This window comes from Homo sapiens, chromosome 4, assembly GCF_000001405.40.
Source record: "Homo sapiens chromosome 4, GRCh38.p14 Primary Assembly".
Classification (NCBI taxonomy): domain Eukaryota; kingdom Metazoa; phylum Chordata; class Mammalia; order Primates; family Hominidae; genus Homo; species Homo sapiens.
Genome location: NC_000004.12, coordinates 84638368 through 84663710, shown reverse-complemented (window position 1 = coordinate 84663710; position 25343 = coordinate 84638368). Strand labels below are relative to the sequence as shown.

General features: G+C 39.5%; 1 protein-coding gene and 1 long non-coding RNA gene across 7 annotated transcripts in view, besides 1 other annotated feature; both read right to left on the bottom strand.

The window, feature by feature from the left end:
* Window positions 1–300: 300 nt before the first annotated feature.
* Window positions 301–10622, bottom strand: LOC124900854 (uncharacterized). The gene is made up of 2 exons (XR_007058462.1): window positions 10384–10622; window positions 301–2347 (listed from the first exon to the last, which is right to left on the bottom strand). It is a non-coding gene; the product is annotated as an uncharacterized LOC124900854 (long non-coding RNA).
* Window positions 10623–12376: 1754 nt separating this feature from the next.
* CDS1 (CDP-diacylglycerol synthase 1) overlaps window positions 12377–25343 on the bottom strand; it is a 68208-nt gene continuing 55241 nt past the window's right edge. Inside the window, exons 9-13 of one of the 6 annotated variants that reach the window (NM_001263.4) lie at window positions 24719–24787; window positions 22721–22873; window positions 20568–20687; window positions 18386–18489; window positions 12377–15154 (exon numbers count right to left, since the gene is read on the bottom strand). In NM_001263.4, the coding sequence (NP_001254.2) occupies window positions 15025–15154; window positions 18386–18489; window positions 20568–20687; window positions 22721–22873; window positions 24719–24787 (576 nt within the window). In that variant the 3' untranslated portion in view covers window positions 12377–15024. The remainder of the gene's footprint in view (window positions 15155–18385; window positions 18490–20567; window positions 20688–22720; window positions 22874–24718; window positions 24788–25343) is intronic. The other 5 variants (XM_005262687.4, XM_017007648.3, XM_017007650.3 and 2 more) reach the window with 5 other exon arrangements.
* Window positions 16101–16395: a silencer, noted in NCBI's record as "tiled region #8979; K562 Repressive non-DNase unmatched - State 24:Quies". NCBI's record gives its function as "represses a minimal TATA promoter and a strong SV40 promoter by Sharpr-MPRA in K562 cells {active_cell/tissue: K562}" and the evidence as "EXISTENCE:reporter gene assay evidence [ECO:0000049][PMID:27701403]".

The following is a 25343-nucleotide window of genomic DNA, read 5'->3' as shown; positions in this document are numbered from 1 at the left end:
GAATAATTTGACTACTTCTGTTCCAATTTAGATGCCTTTTCTTTCTCTTTTCTGATTGCTCCAGCTAGGACACTATGTTGAGTAACAGTGAAAGTGGGCATCCTTGTCTTGTTCCAGATCTTAAAGGAAAGGCTTTCAGTTTTTCGAGCTGGAATATTATAATTGCTTTTTCAGATCATTGCTTCTTAAGATAATAGTTTTAAGTTTTTTAATAGTTTAAGTTTCTTAAAGATTAATTACTATGTGGACTCTGAAATGATGCCAATGAACTTTTAATATTATGACACTAAAATCCATGGGTCTATCTTGCACTTTGAATTTATTTTTTTACACATCCATAATTTTACAGCATCTTGCATTGATCATTTAGAAAATTATTTTTAAATCCTGATTCAAGCACCAGAGACAGAAACAGTATATGTAGAACTTCTAAATGTTGACATATTTCATTATATAATATCAAAAAAATCACATTATCATATACATTAAAATACCACCAGCAGTATCAGAAAATTTTAAGTCATAGTGACAGACACAAATTCTACAACAAATTCTTATTTTTGCTTAAAACCTAAAATTTTATCATTGGCAATAAATTCTGTCTGCTGTTTTCTTTGAAGGGATAGGCTCACTTTGTTAATATTTGAGAACATACCATCCATAGAACCATAGCTTGTCAGTTGTTCTTTCAATAAAAATAGTATTCCATGAGAAAGGCAGAGAATTCAGCTCACAATTCAGTCACACAAGTGCTTCTCTTTGAGACAAATGTTGTACTTCAGTATGCAGGTGCTTTATGGGTACTTCTCATCTTGTGTCACTCTACTTAAGGACCAAGATTTAATAAAAGTAATAATTTTTATTGCTTCTCCAAGGTCATTCTTAAGTCAAAGAGGCACTTGTGTTTTTACTGCAAGTGTTTGGTTATGAAGAATATGATCACTACTACTAGTAGTTTGGTGCCACCATACTAAGGTTCCAACAGTTCTACCCACCACTGCTTTTGTACCTCAATAAAAATATCAATGCAGCAAAAAGGGTAGTGTTTTAGTAGTACTATGAAAACCTTGCAGACCCTCTAAAAGGGTCTCCGGACTCCTGGGGGCCTGGAAACCCCTTGAGAACCACTGGTCCAAGAAGAAGACATGAGATGAGGCTACCTAAATTGTAAGGTAGCATGCATGCAATCTCATTCAGTAATGATATTCCTAATCACTAATCCAGTGCTTTCAACTGGGCTCCCATTGAAACCTCCTGAGAGCAAGACCAGGCCCTATCACACTGAAGTGTTTTGGCGGCTACCCCCAGCTACTGGGATACCACCTCTACAGCTCAAAAGCATGTTGGGGTTTCAAATAAGGACTTTTAAAATCACATTATTATTTCTATTCAAGACTCTAAAATTTTGATAATATAAAAGAAACTGCTAATACGAATCTTTTAATATTAGATACAGTTCTAACTAGTATAATAAACTATCAGGAGAGTCAGTCTAGGGGCTAAGCTCCCATTCTACCACTTACTGTGTGCTCTCAGGTGAGTGACTTAGCCACTCTAGGTCTGAGTTTCCTTATATGGAAAATTTGTATTAGGATACCTGCCCCCAGAGAATTGTTATAAGGATTCGATGTGGTAATATATATAGGAAGGGTAGTGCCTGACAAATGTGTTGTCAGTACATTCCAGTGTTAACTTGGAAATACGAACATAAAAGGGATGATGCACTGAAACATCTGAATGCCAAATGAACGCCAATGGCAGGGAGTTCACCTTCAGTCAGATATACAGGAGGCAGAATGCTACAGTGGGAAGGGCTATTCAAAGTCATCAAGTCCAAAGTAGACTTTTTAAGTAGAATTCCCAGCTCTGCTCCTAAGCCTCTGACACCCAGGCCAAGGCTCTTTACAAACAACTCCCAGTTAGTATTTCCCAATTTTCTTTTAGGTGACTACAGTGCAAGTGTACTTTGGATGTTATTTCAATATTATCCGTGCATAATTATGCCCTTCTTTATCAAGAAGATAAAGCATCCGAACTTCAACCTTGGCCTTCAGCTATCATGCTTCCTGCTCAACAAAGGCAAAGAAGAGTTGCAAGCTGCATTCCAGTGCAGAGGACAGAGTTAAAGAAAAACAACTTGTTTAGGGTCTTGCCCTCAGGCCCTACTACAAACTTCAAACAAAAGCTATATCCTAAAAATGTGATTTCCCTGCATAAAGTTTCCCTTCATAAAAGGAAGCTGCTCCTTTGCAAACTGATTCTCAAGAAATCCACCATGGAGCAAAGGTCAACTAAGCAGTCTTTGGTTATAAACTTGAGGATCCTTTGAGTCTGCTGCTGGCCGATTCTGCCAAGAAGAAAAAAGAAACAAAGTTCTCCTAAAGCAATGTTATCAAGTGTGCTATGGTTCAAGTTCAAATCTGCGAATGTGGATGTCTTTTTCCTTCTAAGGTAGCAATCTGTGTTTGTGCTAATACATACTTAGCTGGGCCTTGAAGATGATTTTTTAAAATGATGTAAGTACCCTCTCCAAGAACTTTCCGGCCTATAAATGAGAGGCTTGCCTTCACACAGGTATCTGTAATTAGATTTTCAGCAAGTGTATTCCATTCCTTACTGTTTCTAATTCAGTAATACTTTCTTCCACAATATGTTTTCTTTGCTCTGCGCTCCAGATTTTCATATCATTGTTATCTCATCTTTGTCCTTTTTTGAATTACTGTTGTATGATACCAGGCCTTCCTAAAGGTTCTCCCCTATTCCCCCTTGTTCACTCCACTGCCCCCACCCCCTGACCCGCCACTGCATTCCTGGTCTTTTGCAAACTTTTGTCCTGCCTTCTTGCCTGCCTGCCTTTTGCATAGGTGTCATGCCATTGATTTTCTTCTTCCTCTTTTAAATGTGGACTCTTGTCCAGCCTTTATGTTTGCTGTGATATACTGTGAGTGAATTCTTTTAACATCGTTCCCCCCTTAGTTTGAGGACTGGGTGTTGTGATTGGGTTTTGTGACACAGCAGTCACTGTGCGTGTGCTGCAATTGCCCATTCTGTGTCAAGCCCTGCAGGGCTCCTCACCTTCTTACCCCTCACACCTTCTGCTCCATCCTGGGCTAGGGCCTCCTCTGCTGCAGGGCCATTCCCTGGCTCTGCTCTCTACCTGCAAGGATCCTACTCCAGGTGTGCTCCTCTTCCTCCCTCACCTTCTCCAAGTCTTTCCTCAAATGTCACCTTGTAAGTGAGGCCTCCCTTGACCAACCTACAGTATTTACAATTGCAATTTCCCTCCCTCTGACTTCCTCATAATCACCCTTCTCTGAAACCCTCCACAATGTGCTATGCTACTATTTATTTGTGTCTCCCTAGCAAAGTGTAAGCTACATGACCACGGATACTTTTGTCTGTTTCACTCACTGCTGCATGGGGTTCTAAAACTGTATCTGACAGAGTGGCTGCTCAATAGATGTGTTGAATGAATAAGAGGCAGCCCTTGGCTTGCCCTCAACTGTAATGCAATCTGTTTTTGTAAACATCTTACATCATCTTTCTTGTGTTGAATTGGAGCCTTCATATACCACATGCCTGAACACATGTGCTTGAAATGCTCACTGGGGTTTGGTTTTTATTATTCTTTATTTTTTGAGACAGGGTCTCTCTCACCCAGGCTGGAGTGCAGTGGCGCTATCCACGGCTCACTGCAGCCTTGACCTCTCAGGCTTAAGCCATCCTCCTGCCTCATCCTCCTGAGTTGCTGGAACCACATTCACCATGCCCAGTTAATTTTTTTTTTTTAATAGATGAGGTCTCATTATATTGCCCAAGCTGGTCTCAAACTCCTGGACTCAAGCGATCCTCCCACCTTGGCCTCCCAAAGTGCTGGAATTACTGGTGTGAGCCACCACACCCAGCTAGGGTTTGGTCTTAAACATTGAAAGTTCCTCATTCCTTGAAGTTACCTTGAGCAAGGCACCCTCTGCCTATGGAATCACCCACCCAGCACCCCAGGATGGAGGCCACCGGGTCTTCGTAGCAATGCCAGAGAAGAAAGCCTCTTCCCCTCCTTTTCCTAGTCCAGCCTAACTGGGGAGGATGAAATATTCCAGGGCAGCCCCCACCCCTCAACCCTGCCTAGCAGACAGATCCAGGAGGGGCTACTGGACCTATTGTGGGGTTCCCATTTGGGGTCAGCTGGCAGCCCTTCCCTGTCCCATACCCAGTCCTAGAATACTCCCCCATCCCATCCCTGCCCCATCATTACAGATTCTCCAATCAGATATTTTAACAACTTTGATACATAATTAACTTACTGTAAAAATCATCAAGTCTACAATTCAGTATGTTTTGGTATATTCAGAGTTTTGCCACCTGATATGGTTTGGCTGTGTTCCCACCCAAATCTCAACTTGAATTGTATCTCCCAAAATTCCCACATGTTGTGGGAGGGACCCAGCGGGGAGTAATTGAATCATGGGGGCTGGTCTTTCCCATGCTCTTCTCATGAGTGATTAAGTCCCACGAGATCTGATGGGTTTATCAGGGGTTTCTGCTTTTGCTTCTCTCTCATTTTCTCATGCAGCCACCATGTAAGAAGTGCCTTTCACCTCCTGCCATGATTCTGAGGCCTCCCCAGCCATGTGGAACTGTAGGTCCAATTAAACCTCTTTTTCTTTTCAGTCTCCAGTATGCCTTTATCAGCAGCAGAAAACAGACTAATACAGTAAATTGGTACCAGTAGAGTGGGGCGTTGCTGAAAAGATACCCAAAATGTGGAAACTATTTTGGAACTAGGTAAGAGACAGAGGTTGAAACAATTTGGAGGGCTCAGAAGAAGCAGGAGAATGTGGGAAAGTTTGGAACTTCCTGAAGACTTGTTCAGTGGCTTAGCCCAAAATGCTGATAGTGATATGGACAATAAAGTCCAGGCTGAGGTGTTCTCAGACAGAGATGAGGAATGTGTTGGGAAGTGGAGTAAAGGTGACTCTTGTTAAGTTTTAGCAAAGAGACTGGCAGCATTCTGCCCCTGCCCTAGAGATCTGTGAAACTTTGAACTTGAGAAAGATGATTTAGGGTATCTGGCAGAAATTTCTAGGCAGCAAAGCATTCAAAACATGACTTGGGTACTGTTAAAGGCATTCAGCTTTATAAGGGAAGCAGAGCATAAAAGTTTGGAAAAATTGCAGCCAGACTATGGAATAGAAAAGAAAAACCCATTTTCTGGGGAGAAATTCAAGCCGGCTACAGAAATTTGCATAAGTAGCAGGAGCCTAATGTTAATCCCCAAGACAATGGGGTAAATGGCTACAGGCCATGTCAGAGACCTTCACAGCAACCCCTCCCATCACAGGCCTGGAGGCCTAGGAGGAAAAAGTGGTTCCATGGGCCAGACCCAGGGTCCCCATGCTGTATGCAGCCCAGGGACTTGGTGCCCTCTGTCCAAGCTGCTCCAGCTGTGGCTGAAAGGGCCAATGTATACCTCAGGCTGTGGCTTCAGAGGGTGGAAGCTCCAAGCCTTGGCAGGTTCCATATGGTGTTGAGCCTGTGGGTGCGCAGAAGTCAAGAATTGAGTTTGGGAACCTCTGCCCAGATTTCAGAAGATGTATGGAAACACCTGGATGTGCCAGCAAAAGTTTGCTGCAGGGGCGGGGTCCTCATGGAGAACCTCTGCTAGGGCAGTGCAGAAGGAAAATGTGGGATCAGAGCCCCCACACAGAGTCCCTACTGGGGCACTGCCCAGTGGAGCTGTGAGAAGAGGGCCACTGTCCTCCAGACCCCAGAATGGTAGATCCACTAACCAACAGTTTGCACCATGCACCTGGAAAAGCCACAGACACTCAACACTAGCCTGTGAAAGCAGCCAGGTGGGAGGCTGTACCCTGCAAAGCCACAGGGGCAGGGCTGCCCAAGACCATGGGAACCCACCTCTTGAATCAGCATGACCTGGATGTGAGACATGGAGTCAAAGGAGATCATTTTGGAGCTTTAAAACTTGACTGCCAGCCAGGTGTGGTGGCTCATGCCTGCAATCCCAGCACTTTGGGAGGCTGAAGCAGATGGATCACCTGAGGTCAGGTGTTTGAGACCAGCCTGGTCAACATGGTGAAACTTCGTCTCTACTAAAAATACAAAAAATTAGCTGGATGTGGTGGCAGGCAGCTGTAATCCCAGCTACTTGGGAGCCTGAGGCAGGAGAACTGCTTGAGCCTGGGAGGCAGAGGTTGCAGTGAGCCAAGATCACGCCATTGCATTCCAGCCTAGGCAACAAGAGCGAAACTCTGTCTCAAAAACAAAAACAAAAACAAAAACTTGACTGCCCTGCTGGATTTCAGACTTGCAAGGGCCCTGTAACCCCTTTGTTTTGGCCAATTTCTTCCATTTGGAATGGCTGTATTTACCCAATACCTGTACCCCCACTGTATCTAGGAAGTAACTAACTTGCTATTGATTTTACAAGCTCATAGGCAGAAGGAACTTGCCTTGTCTCAAATGAGACTTTGGACTGTTGACTTTTAGGTTAATGGTGAAATGAGTTAAGACTTTGGGGACTGTTGGGAAGGCATGATTGGTTTTGTAACGTGAGGACATGAGATTTGGAGGGGCCAGTGGTGGAATGATATGGTTTGGCTATGTCCTCACCCAAATCTCAACTTGAATTGTATCTCCCAGAATTCCCATGTGTTGTGGGAGGGACCCAGGGGAGGTAACTGAATCATGGGGGCTGCTCTTTCCCATGCTATTCTCGTGATTGATAGTAATTCTCACGAAATCTGATGGGTTTATCATCTGGGGTTTCCACTTTTGCTTCTCTCTCATTTTCTCTTGCCACCACCATGTAAGAAGTGCCTTTCACCTTCCGCCATGATTCTGAGGCCTCTCCAGCCAGGTGGAACTGTAAGTCCAATTAAACCTCTTTTTCTTCACAGTCTCGGGTATGTCTTTATCAGCAGCATGAAAACAGACTAATACATCACCATTGTCACAATCTAATTTCAGAACATTTTCATCACCCAAAAAGAAACCCCTTACCATTAGCAGTTACTCCCTAGTCTCCTCCTGCCCCCAGCCTCTACCAACCACTGACCCACTTTGTCTATAGAGTTGCCCAATCTGAACATTTTATCTAATGGAATCATGCAATATGTGGTCTTTTGTGAATGGTTTATTTCACTTTTAACCTTTTTGAGCTTCATCTGTATCACAACATTATCAGTGTTTCATGCCTCTTGATTTCCAAGTAGTAGCCCATTGTATGGATAGACTACATCTTATTCATCCATTCAGCCATGGTGTTTAGGCTGTTTCCACTTTTTTACTATTGTGAATCATGATGTTGTAAACATTCATGTACAGGTTTTCGTACGGATGAATGTTTACATTTCTCTTAGATATATACCAAGAAATGGGCTTGCTGGATCATATGGTAACTCCGTTTTACATTTTGAGCAGCTCTCAGACGGTTTTCCAAAGCCATTGCATCATTTTACATTCAAACCAGCAATGTATCCAATCAGTTTTTATTCTCAGGGAACAGCACCAACCAAACTGTATGCCCTCTGTGCCCCCTTCAAGCGCTCATTAAAATGTAAGTCACTCTTATTTGGGGACAGGTCACTTTCCAATACTTTCAAGAAGGTATCTGGTGAGAAAGTAGTGACAGTGACAGCCTCTTCTAGCAGCCTCAGAATGCGCCGGGGTCTCTGATCCCACCTGGACTTTTCCTACCACCTTGCCTCACTCCCTGCTAGCTCCAGCCCAGGTTAGAGCTCCAACCCTTCCTGAGGTGACCACAATCACAGCACCTTCTACAATCTCTCCAGCTAATCTGCACATTCTTTTGAGGGAACAGGATATATTTAGTTATTTCAAATACTAAAATGATGTCTCATTCAAATATGGTTCTATATCCATGTTTAGTGGGCATATGATATCCATTATTTAGTGAATGATTGAGGTTCTGGGGGTGGTGGTAATTAATACTTTTAGCAGTATATATTACATTCAAAGAAAACGTACCCTCTTGAAATTCCTGAAAGCTGGATCTTAGAACTGAGTCGCCTTTTCAGGGTGCCGACAAGTGCTATGTATTGTGAAAAAGATGGAGGGGGCCACGATCAGTAGGAAGCCCTCTTCCTGCCTTTGCTTTCCTGGGGGCCAGAGCTCAATGGGGCAAGGGAGCAAGCTGCCCCTTCCTTCAGTGAGGGCTCTCACTTAGAACTTCCATAAGTTATTTTGGCCTCGCTTTTATGTTTTAATATTAGTGTATACACTTGGTCACTACTCCTCAGCTGAGGAGCAGTGATGTCATCATATTTGGATTTGGATTAAGATCTGGTCCTTCTCTTCCTGCTATCAAGAAGAACTGTCAAGGTGGGACTTCCAGCTATGTCTGAGTAGGGGTGGCAAATCCTCTCCCCAAAAAGCATCTATTAAAAGCTGGACAAAATGTATGTTTCTGCACTGTAGAAATTGAACAAAGGTATACACTATGAAAAAGGTTTATGCTTGAAAAACTGGAGCACAGTGGGTGTTTGTGGAATCCTTTCCTAGGGCTGCACATGTGCCCCCACCAGCTCAGCTGGGTTAGAGCTTTAGCCAGGGCAGGACAGACTCTGAGGACTCCGATGGTCCAATGGGACTTGCTCAATTTGCAACAGTGGACAATACCCATACCCAGAGAAGTCAGTGGAAGTGACAATCTCAGAGGATGAGAGGGGAGGGCTAATGGTACCACAAGCTGGGAACTGTGTGGTTGGGCCAGGCGCTTTCCTAGATGAGGCCACACGTGGGTGCAGAGGAGACCTGGGCAACACTTCCATTACTGGTTGCCTCTGAGGCTGGACATAGGAGCCTCAAGAGACAAAGTTAATTAATTGGACATCATCAAATTTAAAAGATGTTAAACTTCAAAAGACACCATTAAGAAAAGACAAGCCAAAGCCTGAGAGAAAATATTTGCAAGTTATATATCTGATAAGGTTTCTTACAACTCAATAAGAAGGAAAATAATGCCATTTAAAAATGGGCAAAAGAGGCTGGATGCAGTGGCTCATGCCTGTAATCCCAGCACTTTGGGAGGTCAAAGCAGGTGGATCACTTGAGCCCAGGAGTTTGAGACCACCCTGGCCAACATGGCAAAACCGCATCTCTACAAAAAAATACAAAAATTAGCTGGGCATGGTGGTGGGCACCTGTAATCCTAGCTACTCAGGAGGCTGAAGTAAGAGGATCTCTTGAGCCTGGGAGGCAGAATTTGCAGTGAGCCCAGAACACGCCACTGCACTCCGGCTTTGGTGACAGAGCAAGACCCTGTCTCAAATTAATTAAAAATGGGCAAAAAGATATGAATATTTTTATCAAAGAAGACATACAGAAGAGAAATAAAGCACATGAAAAGACACACCACCACTACCCATTAGAGAAATGCAAATGAAAATCACAATGAAATACCTCTATCCATCAGCTAGAATGTCTATAATTTAAAAGACAGATGATGGCAGGTTTGGGTAAAGATGCAGATAAACTACAACCGTTGCATATCACAAGCAAGAATGTAAGATTGTATAGCTACTTTAGAAAACAGTTTGTTTTTCTTTCTTTCTTTCTTTTTTTTTTTTTGAGCCAGAGTCTTGCTCTGTCACCCAGGCTGGGGTGCAATGGCGCAATCTCGGCTCACTGCAACTTCTGTCTCCCAGGTTCTAGCGATTCTCCTGCCTCAGCCTCCCAAGTAGCTGGGATTACAGGAGCGTGCCACCATGCCCAGATAATTTTTGTATTTTTAGTAGAGACGGGGTCTCGCCATGTTTGCCAGGCTGGTCTTGAACTCCTGACCCCAGGTGATTCACCTGCCTCGGCCTCCCGAAGTGCTGGGATTACAGGCCTGAGCCACTGTGCCCAGCAAGTTATCTCTTTAAAAGAAACTTACCATACAATCTAGCAATTCCTCCCCTAGCCATCTACCTGAGAGAAATGAAGAAATTTCTGCACAAAGACATGTATGTCTACACACATTCATAGTAACATTCTTCATAAGGGCCTCGAACTGGAAATAACCCAAATGTTCATCAACTGATGAGTTAGCAAAACATATTAAACAGGAGAGAAGTGCTAATACATGCAAAAACATGCCAGGTGCAAAACATACTGTATAATTCAATTTATGTGAAATATCACACAGACAGGAAGCAGACCAGTGGTTGCCAAAGGCTGAGGCTTGGAGTGGGGATTAACTGCAAATGGGCACCAGGAAACTTTTTGGAAGATCATGGAAGTGCTCTCAAACTGGATTTGGTGGTGGTGGCACAATGTTATGGTATGTAAATTATATCTCAGTAAAGCTGTTGGGGGAAAAAACAAATGGAATTTCTGACAATTCATATGTATCTGCCTTACCTGGACTAGCTGAAGCCTCTGTTTCCTTTTCTTCACAACTTCTTGAGATTTACTAAAACCAATGAAAAATATATTTAATAGATTACTCAAGAATGTTCCCCAAACTCATCACTTGCCTAGGCCTCATCTGAAGCTTGAATTGTCGAACAGAAAATCATCCAGGCCAGGTCATGCTTGTAATCTCAGCACTTTGGGAGGCAGAGGCAGGCAGCTCATTTGCGGTCAAAAATTGGAGACCAGCCTGGGCAATGCGGTGAAACCCCATCTCTACCAAAAAAAAAAAAAAAATTAGCCAAGCATGGTGGCATGTGCCTGTAGTCCCAGCTACTCAGGAGGCTAAAAGGTGGGATGATCGCTTGAGCCTGGGAGGTTGAGACTGCAATGAGCCGTGATCATGCCACTGCACGCCAGCCTGGGGCAACAGAGCGAGACCCTGTCTCAAGAAAGAAAAAGAAAAGAAAAAAGAAAATTATCTGGACACATTAAACTCAAGTCAGATGCATAGCAGAAAGTCTGAGAGTTAAACTCCAAGTCCTATACCCTGTTCATGTTACAAGTTGAGAGAGAGCAGTTTGAAATTTCACTTCCACTAGAGGACAATGCGATCCTTAGGGTGCACTCTCCCTCAATAATTCTTTCGCTCTCTTGAGTGACAAGGCTCTTGCTTCACCAGCCCTATCTTTTGTACACAGTAGAGAACAGGCTGGATTCTCTCCATTCCTTCTGGAAACTCACTTTGCCCATCATCAGGAAATGTTCCATTCATCAACTTTTACTAAATCATTATTGATGCCTATCTGATGATTTAAGAAGGTTCTCCGTTTCTGTACAGGAAAACGATGAGATTAAGGTAGGAATGGCTTCTGATTTTGGTTAAATTATCTAGACCTGATTTTTCTTTGCAGCTACTAAAGATTCCCAGATCTTTACAGCCCCTCTTCAAGGAATGAATTTTAAACTTTGTAAGTTTCAAGAGGGGGGCAGAAAGATCTGGCTATGGACTATGGTCAGGAAAGACAGGTCTTATGGAGGTCAGACGGTGGTCACCTGTGTTCCCACACACCTGGTTTATGTATCTGTCATCACTCTGATCAATATCCACTTCAAATGACATTACTTCTGTACCTGTCTGACCTGAAGACTAGGCAGAAAACTACTAGTTCTAAGGTTTTTCTTCATGCGAGAACAAAGCACAGTGCTGGGTCAGGTAGACATTTCGGGTTTGCTGAAGTGGATCAACGGTTTGTCTATCATTCATGGAACACTTCCGTTACCCACCACCTAAAGCAGACATGGCCAAAGCGGTGGTTAGTTTTCTGCTCAGTCCTATAACCTGTCGTTTCCCACTGCAGACAGGCAATGGAAGAGGAGCAGACAGGAAGGAGGGAAGGAAACTTAAGAATTACTAATCAGCTACTTAATGCTGGACAATATGAGTTTTCACTGAATCCTTAAAACAACCCTATTGGCTAGGAATAATGAGGCCCACCTTAGAACTCTGCAAAATAAAAGGTCTGGGGAAGGGGACAGGAGATGCCCTAGAGACAAGAGGCAATGTGTACAGCTGGGTCTTTAGACCAAGCTCCAAGCTTGTGCATTTCAGAAGCTGGAGGGCCTACAGAGAGCAGGCATCATGCCAGACACTGGGTATGCAGCGGCCAACCCAAACAGACTTCATCTGGCCTCTGCATAGCTTAAAGCTCTAGTAAGGGGCACACATCATTCAGAGATTCACAAAAATACACAGGTAATTACAAACTGTGCTAATACCATAAAAGTTCAGTACTCTTTGTATTAAGAGGACATTGCCTCTCAACAAATACAGATGTTTGGTAATCACCAGAACTTATTTTATCCCCAGCCCTGAAGATTTCACTGTAGGTGCTGGTGATGGAATAGACACGATATAATACTTACATATACCCATCATTATTTTGTAAACACTGGTTGAATATTTCTTCTCCAATGAGAAAATGGCACAACAAAGTCAAAATATGATTTGTTTCAGTTTTATTTTCCTGTCTCAGTTTCAGTAAAAGATTCAGAGAACTGATTGACACACATCATAAGCTATCACCCATATACCCTAAATATACACTGTTTATGCTTTTTCTTTTTCACGGAACAAGGTGACACTATCTTTGTTCAAACCAAAGTGAAAAGGAAGAGATACAATAATTTTAAAAAGAGGGGTGTGTGTGGTCTTTCACTCTCAGATAGTGAATGTACGTCACCACAACAAGGAAAAAGCGCTGAGGAAGAATGTGCATCCCACAGGTCAGAGAGTCAAGCAGGAAGTACCAGTAGAGCACCTCCAAATATAGCAAATTTGGAACAACTAGGCATTACTGTGAAAGAACTTCCTAGTTTTTCATTTGTCTGCCACCACATTGCTACATTGGAATTTAAGCCCTCTTCACAGTGCAAATATCAAAATGAGCCAAGTCAGGGTTTTATGGCAATCTTTTGCTAAAATATATTCTATTTTAATATACATGCTATAAAAGTATGCTAAAAAGGTCAATCGAGAGCTCCATTAAAATTAATAATTTGCTTTTTTACATATAGGATAATGTACATTCAATTCTAAAAGTATATTTGAGAAAAGCTATTACTGTGATCCCAAATATTTCTAGCTTCCTATTTTGTTTATAATAATATTGATTTTATAACACACATATTCAGTAATGCTTTCTTATAATTCTGGATTTCAATGCCTCACCAATTATTTTAAATACAAATGTGGGGGGATCTGTGTATCTCAAGGAGTTCTTACTCATGCAAACTACTGAGTTTTTAATGTAAGTTCTTATAAAATTTTCATTTTATTCTTTAAACTTTGGTAGCCTAAATTTTTTTTATGACCAACATTTGAGGCTGTAATGGGACAAATAAAAACATGAGATGTTGAAAATTAAACTTGTAGGTGGCCTGATTTTAAATGCGATCACTGCCTCCTATAATAACATTTCCAGTATCAATTTTAGATTTGTATGGATAGTGTGAGATACACTGGCTGAACACATGCAGTGATGATGAATCAATGGAGTATATGCTGGACCATAAAATGGACTCTTGGTACCGAGTGCACCTATGTCTAATCATGTGTGCATGTGAGGAGGTGCTGGCTGACTGCATCAGTGGAACCCAGGTATAACGGCAATCTTTTGTTTTAGGTATAGTAGACGGAAATATAAAATAATGGAAAGTTTTTGCTGATTTAAACAAAAATATTTACTCTTTTCATTAGCAAAACATTATTTAAAATATATCTATTTCTCCCCTCTGAACATTTAACTAGGAACACTGGGCAATTTTTGAAGGTTTAGTGCTGATTGTTTAATACAATAAATATGGCTGTGGAGAGCACACAGCAGCAGTAGCTTACATACGTCCACGGATAAGAAATTTACTCTCATCTGGTTAGTGTCCAGTCCACCAAAGGAAAGGTTTGGCATTCGTGTGCTTTTTTTTCGTGTAGGAATCAATTCTGCTTGATTTTCATTCTTGGAAGAAAAAATAATCAGCTGATATCCTCAAATTTTATGACATGATGCAAAGGAGCAAGGGGACAAAGATGACCTATGGTCAAAAAGCTGGACTGGGATCAGGTCTCCAGGCAGATCTTCCTTCTTGCGAGGTGAGTCTACAAAGGGCTGCACTAGAAGCCAGGAGTGAGGCATTGGGGACACGGGGGTGGGTTGCTCCCACTCGGGCAAGCATCTCCTGCTCTGCTGCAGCCACAACCCCGACTCACTACCCTACAGAACCATGGAAGCCAGTTCACAGGGAAACAGGGAAAAGTGAAGCACATGACGAAGAGATGGCCCAGGCCACAGGTCACCGTTTGAAGCTGCCTCCTGAGCTACTGTCCTCTGTTGAGATAATATGCGGAGGATCCGTACACTGTGTTCTTCACAGCAGAATTCTTCCTTGTTGCTCTTGAAAAGTTTTTGCGAGGTCGTGACCTTCCAAACAATTTTATCAGAAGTAGTCTGATGCCTGCTCTTTCTAACAAACCAATCATGGCAAAAATTTCAGGCTCCCTCCCCTGAATTTTGAAACTACCTAAAAGCAGAATGTTTTCCCCTGGCAAATGGTTACTTCTTTGAAAAGTAGACAATCTTTTTTTTTTTTTTTTAAATCCAACTAAGCCCTTTAGAAAGTACTCCAGACTACATGAGGAGGAAGTGCAGGAGAACTGACTTCCTATTGTGCCTTGCATAAAACATTTTGCTAAAATTAAAAGCAGCTCCAAGTGCAAAAGTAAATATTTGTGCAAAAAGGCACACTGCCAGGTGCAATCTTAAAACATCGTCAACTTACTCATTTTATAGTGTTTGACTCTTTTAAATACCAGTCTTTTAAATTATGAAACCTAGCAAGTAAGGGGAAGGAAGTTCACATCAGAAAATACACTTTAGAAAAGGTACAAGACATTTTGCTGGCAATTTGCTACTTATTTCATAACATAGATCAAGTAAGTGTTTGTTAAATATTCACAGTAATTTCAGAGAGAAACATATCTCCAAAACTTCAACCTATTGCATTTTTAACTATTTTTCTGTACAATTTATAAAACATCTGTCAGTGTTTTTCTGAATAATTCCTTCTTGTCAGTCCTTCCCTCTCTGGATCCAGTTATACCTTCAAGGTGGGTTGTAGGATTCCTTTCTCAATGAGATGAGTCTTCAGGGTTTTATATATATTTAACTGCTGTTCAGGTTGAAGCACCAACAACTGCTGTAGCACTTTGCTGGGATTTGGGCCCCTAATGATAAAAGGCAAAGAAGACAAGTTCGTGTTATTTTAATAGGGATAAGTGAAGCACATACCTCCAATTTAAAACAAACCATTCCTTTAAGTGTAGAGTAGGAATCTTTACAGAATTAAAATAGCTCTTGATAATAGCTCACTTTAATGTGCAATGTTAGTGTCAAGGGTTACAGCAGAGAGGGAGAAAGAATGCACAAACACAAAACACAAGAGCAATGTAAGTCAATTGAAGGGGTGCAGATCTAAGTTCTACAAAAGCTCTTGAAAGGGCAACCAAAGTTAAAGGTGGGGATAAATGGCAAATCTTGAGATTGAATGAGACACAAAAACTATTCTGTAAGGAAAGGAGCCTGGTGAACATAGGACAAACCAAAAAGAGGGCATGAAAATATAATTGAAATTTTTAACTTCCAAGAAACTTCAGATGATGAAAGGTATTTTGTTGAAAAATATCTCCAGGGAGTTATGAATATTCAGAGTCAGAACACAAAAGTCCTGAGCCTAGCACTGAAGCCCCTTACCAGTGATACAGGTGCCGTGGACTTTGTTCAAAGACAGTCCTAGGTGAACTCCAATATAAAAAACAAAATAAAAGCAGATCTGCTTTAAAATCCAATGGGAAAAAGCAACATACAAGTCATGTATAGAGATGGCATAGAATTCTAAGAAAGACATTTATGTGGGTAAATAATGTATGCCTTACAGTAAAGATTGTTCACATTGAATTATAGAAAGTAGAAATCCCAGCAACAAAGAAATGTTTGCTATTTAGTGTTACCACAATGAGGATGAGCAGAGGAACTATTTACTCTGAAAATCTTTGACTTAACAAATTGCACAAGAGCCCAGATGAGCCATCCCACCAAGGGTCATCTTCATGCACGTGGCTCAACTCATCTGCCAAAAAACTTTCACACTCAGGTCAGGACACTGTTCGCCTTATTTCATTTCTTTAAAAGAGTCAGCAACTTCACAGCATAAACCCCAAGTAGAGACCAACAGAGAAAAGGAAGGCTGCTTTAGCAAGTTCAGCTAAATGCAAAATTGTGTCAGCAGGTGCTCCCAGCTAGCTGCATCCTGGCACTCTCAGTGTCTTCTAACAGTCTAAATAGCTGCTTTCAAATGGTGGACAACATGGCTCAGCATGACACCTCCCTACTGAGAGGACAGCATTTTTTTTTTAAAGAAAGCATATGAGTTAATGCCCTAAAAAGCTGCCATATTCTGAAAACAAAGTTTTAAGGATTTAACCACTAATTACTAATACCCAAATAGATCAATAAATAATATGCAAATAAGTTAAATAGTCCCATTAAAAGGATAAAGATTATCAACTGTCTTATAAATAAAACAGGGAAAAAAATCAGCTATATGCTTACTAGAAAAAAGAAACACATTAAATATAAGGAAAAGGGAATGTTAAAAATAAAAGGAGAGACAAAGAAATAACATGCAAACACTGACCAAAAGAAAGCTGATATTGCTATTTTAATATTCAACACAGTACGCTTTAAGGCAAGCAGTAAAGACAGACATTATATAATGACAAAAGGATCAATTCAATGGAGAGATATGACAATCCTAAATTTGTACATACCTAATACAACCTCAAAATATATAAACCAAAAATTGGTAGAACTACAAATAAAAAAATACATTTACAATCACAATGAGAGACTTTAACAAAGCTCTCTTAGTAACTGATAGAACAAGCGGACCAAACAAACACAAAAACAAATAAACAAAAATCAGTACAGAAGATTTAATTAAACCTCACCTAACTGACACAGACAAAACTACAACCCAAAACTACAGAATACACCTTTGCCCATGGAGCATGTACTAGAATAGATAACATGCTGTACCACAGAATAGATCTCAAAAATTATAAAATACTCAAATCATAGAGTATGTTTTCCGACCACAGTGGAATTAAGGGAGGAAAGTGAAAAAATCTCCATTTGTTTGAAAACTAATGAATATGCTTCTAAATAACCCATGTGTTAAAGAAGATATAATACTGGAAATCAGAAAACATGTAAATAATGAAAATACAAATATCACAACTTGCAGGAAGAGGATAAAGTGATACTTAATAGTCTTCAATGGATAAATTAGATAAGAAGGCTAAAAATCAATAATCTAAGCTTATCTCCAGAATTAAAAAAAGAACAGCATATTGAACATTTAAAAAAGGCAGAGAAATGAAAGATGAGAGGAGAAATCAATGAGGTAAAAAATTTACAGTAGAGAAAATTAACAAAGCCTGGAGTTGATATTTTTGAAAAGATTAATGAAATTGATAAACTCGCTATCAGGACTGTCTCTCAAAAATAGTTAATATAAAAATTCTCACACTACTGTGGTACATATTTAAAATGTGTATTTAGGGATTGCTAAATATGAATTTCCTTCCAAGTACTATGAAGGAAATCCATGTTTTCTACAGCTCAGGTACTATTAATAAGCATTCTGCCTTCTGGGCCCCCAGTAGAGACCACAGAAAATAAAGTTAACATGCAGTTGATGTTAAGCCTTCACACTCACACTGGTATTTCAAGGCAGATCCAAAACATTAAGGTTTAATAACAAGAATAAACCACCCTTTCTAAAATGGCAATATTCATCCACCCATCCACCAGCCAGCCCCTACACACACAGGCATGATCCCCTCGGCCTGCTTTATTTTTCTGTGTGACACTTACAACCATCTAACAAACTATATTTATTTGTTTATTGTCTCTTTCTCATCATTCTTTCTTCAACTTCCAAACAAGTAGCTATGGGGGCAGAGATTTGGTTTGTTTTGTTCTCTGCCATATTTGTCCCTAGAACATTCTACAATATGGCAGGCACTCAAGTAATAATTGGTAGACTGGATGCATTTCGTTATCTCCCTTTTTAACTCTTAGTATTCATGATCATTGCAATGCCCACAGTTGAGAAATCAAATCTCCTCAAGTTTCAAATCCTATACCATCCACATTAATTGGGTCTTCAATGTGGTCCAGGACCATGACAAATACTATCTTTTTTTAAGTTGTTCAAATGTAGGTAAAACAATTACAAGTTAACCATCTTGCTCAAGACTCTAATTCCAGGGGCCACCATTCACTTTAATATTGTAGATTACCATTGACGGAAAAAGTTAACTTACTCAAACTAATGTTGATGGAAATGAGAACTCAAAGAAATCATCTAAAAAATGTCTCAAGTGTAAAAGTACCTTATAAAACTTGTGATGTACACATGTACAAAAGTTGCCATCAAATACTGACAATCAAATCTGTCCATTATCCCACCATGTCCAGGAATGGTATTTGCAAAATCCTTTAGAAACAAACAAATATATTAGCAAATTTTCAAAAAATCACCTGCTATAAAATTCCTATCTGTGTCTCTTTGGCGTCATGGACTCACTCTAACGAAAATACATTACTATTGGATTTTTTTCACTAAATAAAAACTTATTAGAACACATCCAGCAGATTAAAACCACATCTTCCAAATACATGCTTCTTTTAGAATGATTTCTGAATTGACCCACAGCATTCATTCATCAAACGTTAATTAAATCTAGCACTTACTTTTTTTCGTTAATAAAACTTTTTCTAAATAAAAATTATCTTAGCTATTACTAATCTAATTTTGTTACAGCCTAGCTTTCTTTTTAACCACAAGCTGTTTGGGGAGCTATTTTAGTGCTGCTAAAAGATGTACAACTGGTTCTAACTTGTTTATCCTAATAGTTCTTACTCTGAAATAAACATTTTACTACTATGATAAACATTTCTTCTTCTTTTTTTAAGTGTTAGAGTAAAAAATAAAATTACAGTGAGCCCATATGGGACACATTAGTCCATTAAATGGCCACACTGAGGGAATGGTAGTAAGCCTCTGCAAACTGACCCTTTACAGGTAGATTCACATGTCTGGGTGCCCAGGAAATGGACATGACTAACTGCTCTTCTAGTTCACTCAGGCACCCTAAAAATATCTAAACTACAACAGCAATAGCTGTTTGGTTTCCAACATGCAAAAAAAACTCACCATTTAACAAAAAATCTTGGATTGGAGACCATTAAAGAAAATACCATTCTAAATATAACATTTTTCTTTTTAAAATAATTACTGAAAAAGTCTTTGGTTAATTTTTGCCAACCCATTTCTCTCTTTCTCTTCCTTACTAGTCAAAGCATAAAAGAGCCACAGTAACTCAATGCCACTCTGCTATTACAGCCTTCGCAAGATACTTATCCTGCACAGCTGTTGCTGTAGTTCTCTGGGGAAGTGTATTGTCTGCCCTAGTAGGTGGTGAGCATCTTTAGAACAGGAACAACATCTTGTATATTTTTGTATACTGCATTGCACCTTACATAGTAGCTTCCCACTGGCAAATGCTCGCTGAGTTCACTTATTCCCTGACCCCGTAGGCCGCGTGTGATCTGGTCCCACCAAACTCTGCGGTCTCATCTCCTACTCTCAACCACAGCCACACTGTTCTTGCTCACCTTCTAACAGGCTAATTAACCTCTTCCACTCCTCTGTACACTCTGGAACTCTCTTCTTAGTTTTCTCTGGAGGAGTTCTTTTCTCAAATCTCTACTTAAGTGCCACCTCCTCAGAAAGGCTTTCCCTGACCACCCCAACTTCCATAGCCACTTTCTAACCCCAGATGGTGCCTCAGCCATGTGAGGGAAGCTGAGATGAAATTGCTGAGATAACATGTCACTTTATGATGATCTAACCTAATACACAGGGATAATTTTAGGTCTCTGGAACAGGGGTCAGAAAAGTATGTCCCACAGATCAGATCCAGGCCACAACCTATTTTTATAAATAAAGTTTTATTAAATCCAGCCATGCCCATTCATTGACATATTGTCCACGGGGGGCTTTCTCACTGTAACAGCAGGGTTCAGGGTTGAGAAGCTTTGATAGAATATATGGTCTGCACATCCTAATAAATGTATTGTTTGCCCTTTACAGAAAGAGTGTGATGACACCTGACTTAGCAGAATGGACAGTTACATAGCCAAAGGTTCTTCTGCATGTCCCTTCAAGTGAGACTGTAGTAAAACACTAAACTTTAGATGATTCACGGCTGGATTCTTGGGTGAGCACTTGAAAGACCAAGATTCTGGGTCTATTCCAACACTAAAGGACACATGCCATGTCTATAAAGGAAGCTGACATGACACTTAAAATGTATTAACATGGTATGACAAACCTAAAAAGAAAGAATACATTCAGATCAACGTGGCAGCATTTCTGTGGGGTCGAAACAAATAGGATATAAAAGTTGTGGCCTAGGGGCTTAATGTAGATCATGAGCGGACCAAATTCCAACTAGGTTACATTCTCTAATTATATTCTCTAATAATATAACAAAGAATCTAAACACACACCTTGATTTTGAAGGCTCTTTTGAATCCACTAGCAAAGAAGCCTCCAAATGGGCCAATTAAAGATGCAAAGGTTGACAGTGCAATGCTGTGGATCTGGAAAGGGTACAAGCTCACTCTTTCCTAAAGAGGAGAAAGAAGGGGAGGAGAGGGGCTAATTTCACTGAAATTGTATTTGAGCATACCACCTGATCTAAGAACCATTGTGTAAATAGTAAGTCAAAGCACGCACCACATTTTTGTTAATTTTTCAAACTTTAAGGATCAAGGAAGAAAAGTCTATTTAAGCCTTCTGTACCATCCTCTACTTAGCCAGCAATTTCCCTTCTCTCTGTAAGAATAATGACAGGCAACTGGCACACTGAAATCTTGCAGCGTGGTAGTCTACCTTCCAGGTTGTCTAGGAACTTTACTTCTTACAAAGAATCAGCTGTGTTATTTTCCAAATTTTTTTAAACTAGTAATGCTTTGTTGCTGTAATTATATAATTTAATATTGTATTTTATTTCACCTTAATTTTATATGATAAAATAAGGGAAAAGTTGGACTTTTCTCTAAAATTAAGATGAATGCTGTGGAAAAACACAAAAATAAGTTGCTTAAAGATTATTATCAAAATGAGCATCAGTGAGACAATCACTAAAGATTTGGGGAGACAATCATAAAGGCTGAGAAGAATTTTGTAGTCAAATTATTTTGCAAATTTGTAGTTCTTGCTCCTTTTTAAATAATCTGAAACTACAATTTATAGACAGTGCAAAATGCACCCATTTTGGTTGAAGAAAGATGTCTGAGGCACCAATTTTTTTTTTTTTTTTTTGAGGCAGAGTTTCACTCTTGTTGCCCAGGCTAGAGTGCAATGGTGCAATCTCGGCTCACCGCAACCTCCGCCTCCCAGGTTCAAGTGATTCTCCTGCCTCAGCTTCCCAAAGTAGCTGGAATTACAGGTGTATGCCACCACGACTGGCTAATTTTTTATGTTTAGTAGACATGGGTTTCACCTTTTGGTCAGGCTGGTCTGGAACTCCTGGCATCAGGTGATCCACCTGCCTTGGCCTCCCAAAGTGTTGGGATTACAGGCATAAGCCAATGTGCCCGGCTGAGACATCCATTTTTTGACCTGTTCTCAAAGCAATAAATAGCCTTGCTCCTAATCAAACACTAGCAGTATAAAAAGTTTTATAGCAGGTAACAGATGGCTTGGACATTGAAAAAGTTCTTGGAAACCATGTACTGAGCACTCAGAGAGAAATAATTTGTTAAGCTACTCCTCAAAAATTATGGATTTTATGTAAAATGATTCAGATACAAAGCTGTACATGTGTGCACACAAAGATACAGACATACATGCTATTATTTGATTCCTCACTTTAACCAGCCACTCACCAGACCTGATGACACAGATCAGGAGGGTTCCACTGGAGGGCATGTCAACATCCTCTAGTGTAAGGCCTCCAAGATACCTTTCAAGGAAGGCACTGTATTTGGAAGGAAAACTGATTTGTAGAAGCAGCAACTTTCTGTCCATAATAAATGTCCTCTAAAAATCAAGGACTCGGTAAACTGGTGAATTTTAAGTTTTAAATTGTGTCAACTGATGTCAGTGATATGAGAAACACATTCTAAACCATTTGATCCATTTGATTTGTAACCCGTTCTCATCCATTTGATTTAAGCTAACACTAAAACCACTGGTATATCAAAGAATTAAAAATTCTACAGAAATCAGTTTCTTGTACAAATCTGAATCCCACTTTTAAAGAAAGCTTAATTAATCTTCAGGCCAGGCACAATGGCTCATGCTTGTAATCCCAGCACCTTGGGAAGCCGAAGCAGGCGGATCACTTGAGACCAGGAGTTTGAGACCAGATTGGCCAACATAGCAACACCCGTCTCTACTTAAAATACAAAATTTAGCGAGATGTGGTGGCGAGCGCCTGTAATCCCAGCTACTCAGGAGGCTGAGGCCTAAGAATCACTTGAGCAAAGGTTGCAGTAAGTTGAGATTACGCCACTACACTCCAGCCTGGGCAACAGAGGGAAACTCTGTCTCAAAACAACAATAAATTAATTAAATAAATAAATAAATAATAAAGGAAGCTTAATCTTCAGAGTGGAAGATCTCTAACCATGTTTATCTTGAACTTTTACTGTACCTGTCTCAAGACTGCCTTTAGAAAGGGTGGAAGTGAGTAAGTCTGAAGCTGGAAAAGTTCTGAGGGCTCACATTCTGTCACGAAGGAGTTTACATCACTTCGGTATTCCACTGGGCAGACAAAGTACTGGTATTTGGATAACACATAGGCAGCCTGATATTAAAAACAAAACAAAACAAAACAAAAAACAAAGCAAAAGTTCATAACACATTGACTAAACATATATCTTTTAAGTTATACATCAGAAAGGCCAGAGATAGAATGCCAGAATTTCTTTGTCTTAATATTTTGCTATGTATTTTCAAAGTTAAATGGTCATAATTATCCTAGTAAAAGACTTAAAAGACCTTTAGAAAAAAAAAGTTTTTTTGAAATCAATAAGATTGTAATCTCTGCATAATCACAATTATACGGTACAGGAGAATAAAGAACTGAAGTATACTGCACACAAGCTTCTATTAATTTCATCAGTTAATAATTAACCAGTAATTCAAAATTACAATAAAATAGTACAAAATAGTACAGGTTAAAAACACCATTGTTCTTAGCCAACCCAGAAAACTTTGACTAAATTATTCTTTCCCTGGCCACACCATTGCAATTTTTAAAACTAGCTGTCCACAGCCTTGGAAATAAGATACATAAAATAAGATATCCTGTTATAAATTTAAATTGCTAGACAACAGCTTATTCTCCTTTTCTTGCAGCCATTCACCCTATTATTCTGCTCGAGAATGAGTAATAGAAATTCAAGACACTAGGAATGAATATAAACTGATTTTGCTTCCAAACAACCAGTTTATTTTATATATATAAAATATATATTATATATATTACATATTATTATATATATTATATATATATAATTTCATATAGATGTGGAATTTCCTTCCTCATTATTTTGTCATGCATTACATGCTTATGGGGTAGCTCCTACTTTTCTTCCAATGATATGGCTATTCCTGTGGTATTTTCAAGTTAGTCTTTGATAATAACAAATTCTTACACTATTTAGCTTCATAATGTTTAATTATTCTCGCTTTGTAATGTAAAAACATTGGATGAGATTGGATCCTTTTGCATTCTTCTATCTGTCCATTATTATCTCATCAATATTCTACCACAAAAACACTGGAATAATTTTATCACATTTTATTAAAATTTTCATTGCAAATGAACTAAATTTATAAATTAAATAGAGGAATTCTGGTGGTTTCCAGGATCATGGCATATTTCCATTTATTTGTATATTCACTCTCTCCAGGCTTCATGTTGTTACTAGGTACTCTAGATTTGGATACAGAATGTAACCACAACTGTCAGAAACTAGGAAAAGTAAAGCTTCCTGACAGTACTTTTTTGTACATTTATCTTATATCCAGCTATGGTACTATACTCTCATTCTCACTAGACACCTTTTAATAAAAATCTAAATCCTATAACTGTAAACTAATTTGTAAAACATGAAAAATAGCTATTTAACATGCTAAAAGCAAACATTAATAGTTTATAGTTAGACTGTTTCTGCAAGTTGGGCCCACAACAGTAACCACCCACTGAGCCAAGTGGCCACCATGTGTTTAAGAAGGCAGAGCTTTTCAATAGTATTTGCATCCTCTGCTATTACACAAGGCCACCACCTGTCCCAGTACTTGTGCCCCGCCTAAGGCAGAATAGCTGTTAGAAACTACCAAACACAACAGCACAACAGTAAGTCAGCAAGTCAGCAAGACAGCATGGATGGCCATTAGAATTACCTGGGGGTGTTAACTGGCCTGGGATAAGGCTGAGACATAGATTTTGTTTAAGCTTCTCAGGTGATTCTATATGTAGCCAGGATAAGGGCTGCTGAGGTACAGAACTGGTTCTTTTCAGTAGGTTTCAATAAATATATTATTAGCATTTTGTGGTTTAATTTTTCTAGGTTTAAAATTAGACCAGTAAGCTTGGTATCATATTTCGAAATGTATACAAAATAAAAATCTTAGTAATACTCACAATGAATCCAAACACAACTGTGGAAAAGAAACCACCAATGAATCCTTCCCAAGTCTTTTTAGGAGACAACTAAAAAAGGGCAAATAAAATTAAAAAGCTTTACTGCACTCACAAAACTCACAATATATATATATATATATATATAAACTATTTCCTCAATAACTTGTACATCTCTCCTTACTTTTTCTCTTATTGGAATAGTTCAAAACCCTTTTTCCTTTTCTCTGATCTTGATTTACTAGTGAAAATCTCTCTAATAATATTTAAACACATAGTAGGCCCTCAAATATTTGAAATGCTGTGAATATGTGTTTGTTCATGTTAAATGGTCTAAATTTGTTCTGTCTCTCAAAAGAGTATAAACTCTATACTAAAATAACTGTCCCATGACTCTTATGCTAATATAAAACCTGATAATAGTTGGTGTAAGTTCTTGGAATAAGAATGAGACGTATTCATTCCAAGTACACACAGTCAGTATTGACCTGCTATTGGCCAAAAATAGAATCAGTACAACAAAACATGGACATTTTAGCACATATAATTTTCACATATTCCTAATATGCTATATACACACAGACTTCCTTCTGATATGGCAAAATACTCCAGAGCCCCAGATACTGTA